A 1,834-nucleotide genomic window follows, 5' to 3' on the forward strand; every position below is an offset into this window, starting at 1 on the left:
AATCACTTACTTATTTATATGCATAAATTGGGGGCCTTCTACCTATCAAGCATTATTCTAGAAGCTAAAGATATACAAAGGTTATAATGACAAAAACATCCTCCTGTGATCTCAGCCACTCATGCTGTATTTATGACAGAGACACTTAGGCCTTGCAAATATTCCATATGCTCCCCTACATTCTCAACTCCCTTCATAATTTGGTGAGTGGCTCATGACTAGTTATGGCCAGTAGGCTGAGAGTAGAGGTGATGTGTGTCCAAGCCAAGGCAATTAAAAGCTGGTGCATGTTCTTCAACTGAGTTGTCTCCAACTCAGTCTTCACCTATATAACAATGTCCATATTCAGGTATTGAGATAGCATGTCACAGGAATGGAAAGCCTTTATCACTATCTTTGATGAAGGAGAGTCCTCATTGACCCATAGTGGACTTGCATGAGCAAGTTCTAAGTAAATAATATTTAATAATTCATTTGTTAGTATAGTATAACCTAGATTATCTAATTAAACACACATATTTAAAAGTTTTCTATGTTTTCTTCAAAAAGTTATTTTCTTACTGTTGTACTTCTAGATAATGCTAGCAAAGGAATAACTTAGTAGACTTTTTGTTCTGTTCATTGGTTATTTTTAAAACTATTGCTTTATTTATAGGTGTATGCCTAACTAGGAGGTACTAAAAGACAATTTAAGAGAATTTAAGAAATGGGGAAGCAAAGGAAAAACAGAATAAATTGTACAGAATATGATGGAATATATGTTATCATAATAAAGATAAATGGACTATACTTAACCAGTTAAAAGACAGTGATTGCCAATTAGTAATAAAAGAATTACCTATATGTTGTTTAAAAGAGACACATATAAAACATGAAAACAGAGAATGTAAAAAGAAGTTGTAAGAATGAATAAGCTAATAAAAATATATACTAGGACAATACTAACCCAACCAAACCATACCCATACAATTTCACTATTAATGGCATATAATAGATGGAACAGGTAAAAGTTTTAATTAGGGCTATACCGTCTTGAAACCTATAATGACATTTCAGTCAATGATAAACCGCATATATAATGGTAGTTCATAACATTATAATGGAGCCTATGTGGAGGTAGAATACACTGAAATTGATTATTCTGACCCTGTGGAGGCTTAGGCCAATGTATATGTTGATGTTCCAAATTTTCACAAAAAAGTTTAAAAAAAATAAAAAACTTAAAGTATAAAAAAGCTTATATAATAAGAATATAAACAAAAGTATTTTTGCAGCTTTACAATGTGTGTTTTAAGCTAAGTGTTATTACAAGAGTCAAAAAGCTAAAAAAATGAAAAATTTATAAAGTAAAAATGTCACCATCAGCTAAGGTTAATTTATTAATGAGGAATTGTTTCTAAACAAATTTAGTGTAGCTTAAGTAAGTGTGCAGTGTTTACAAAGTCTACAGTAGTATACGGTAATGTCCTAGGGTCTTCACATTTACTCACCACTCACTCACTGACTTTACCCAGAGCAACTTCCAACCACCAGCCCTACCTGCTCTATTCATGGTAAGTGCCCTACAGATGTAGCATTTTTCATCTTTTATACCATATTTGTACTGTATCTTTTCTATGGTTAGATATATTTAGATACACAAATATCATCATGTTATAATTGCTTACAGTATTCAGTACAGTAATATGCTGTATAAGTTTGTAACCTAGAAGCAATAGGCTATACCATATAGTTTGGGTGTGTAGTGGGCTATACCACCTTGGCTTGTGTAAATGCACTCTATGATGTTCACACAATAAAAATCTCCAAAGGACACACTTCTCAGAATGTATCC

This window comes from Homo sapiens, chromosome 2 (genome assembly GCF_000001405.40).
Source record: "Homo sapiens chromosome 2, GRCh38.p14 Primary Assembly".
Classification (NCBI taxonomy): domain Eukaryota; kingdom Metazoa; phylum Chordata; class Mammalia; order Primates; family Hominidae; genus Homo; species Homo sapiens.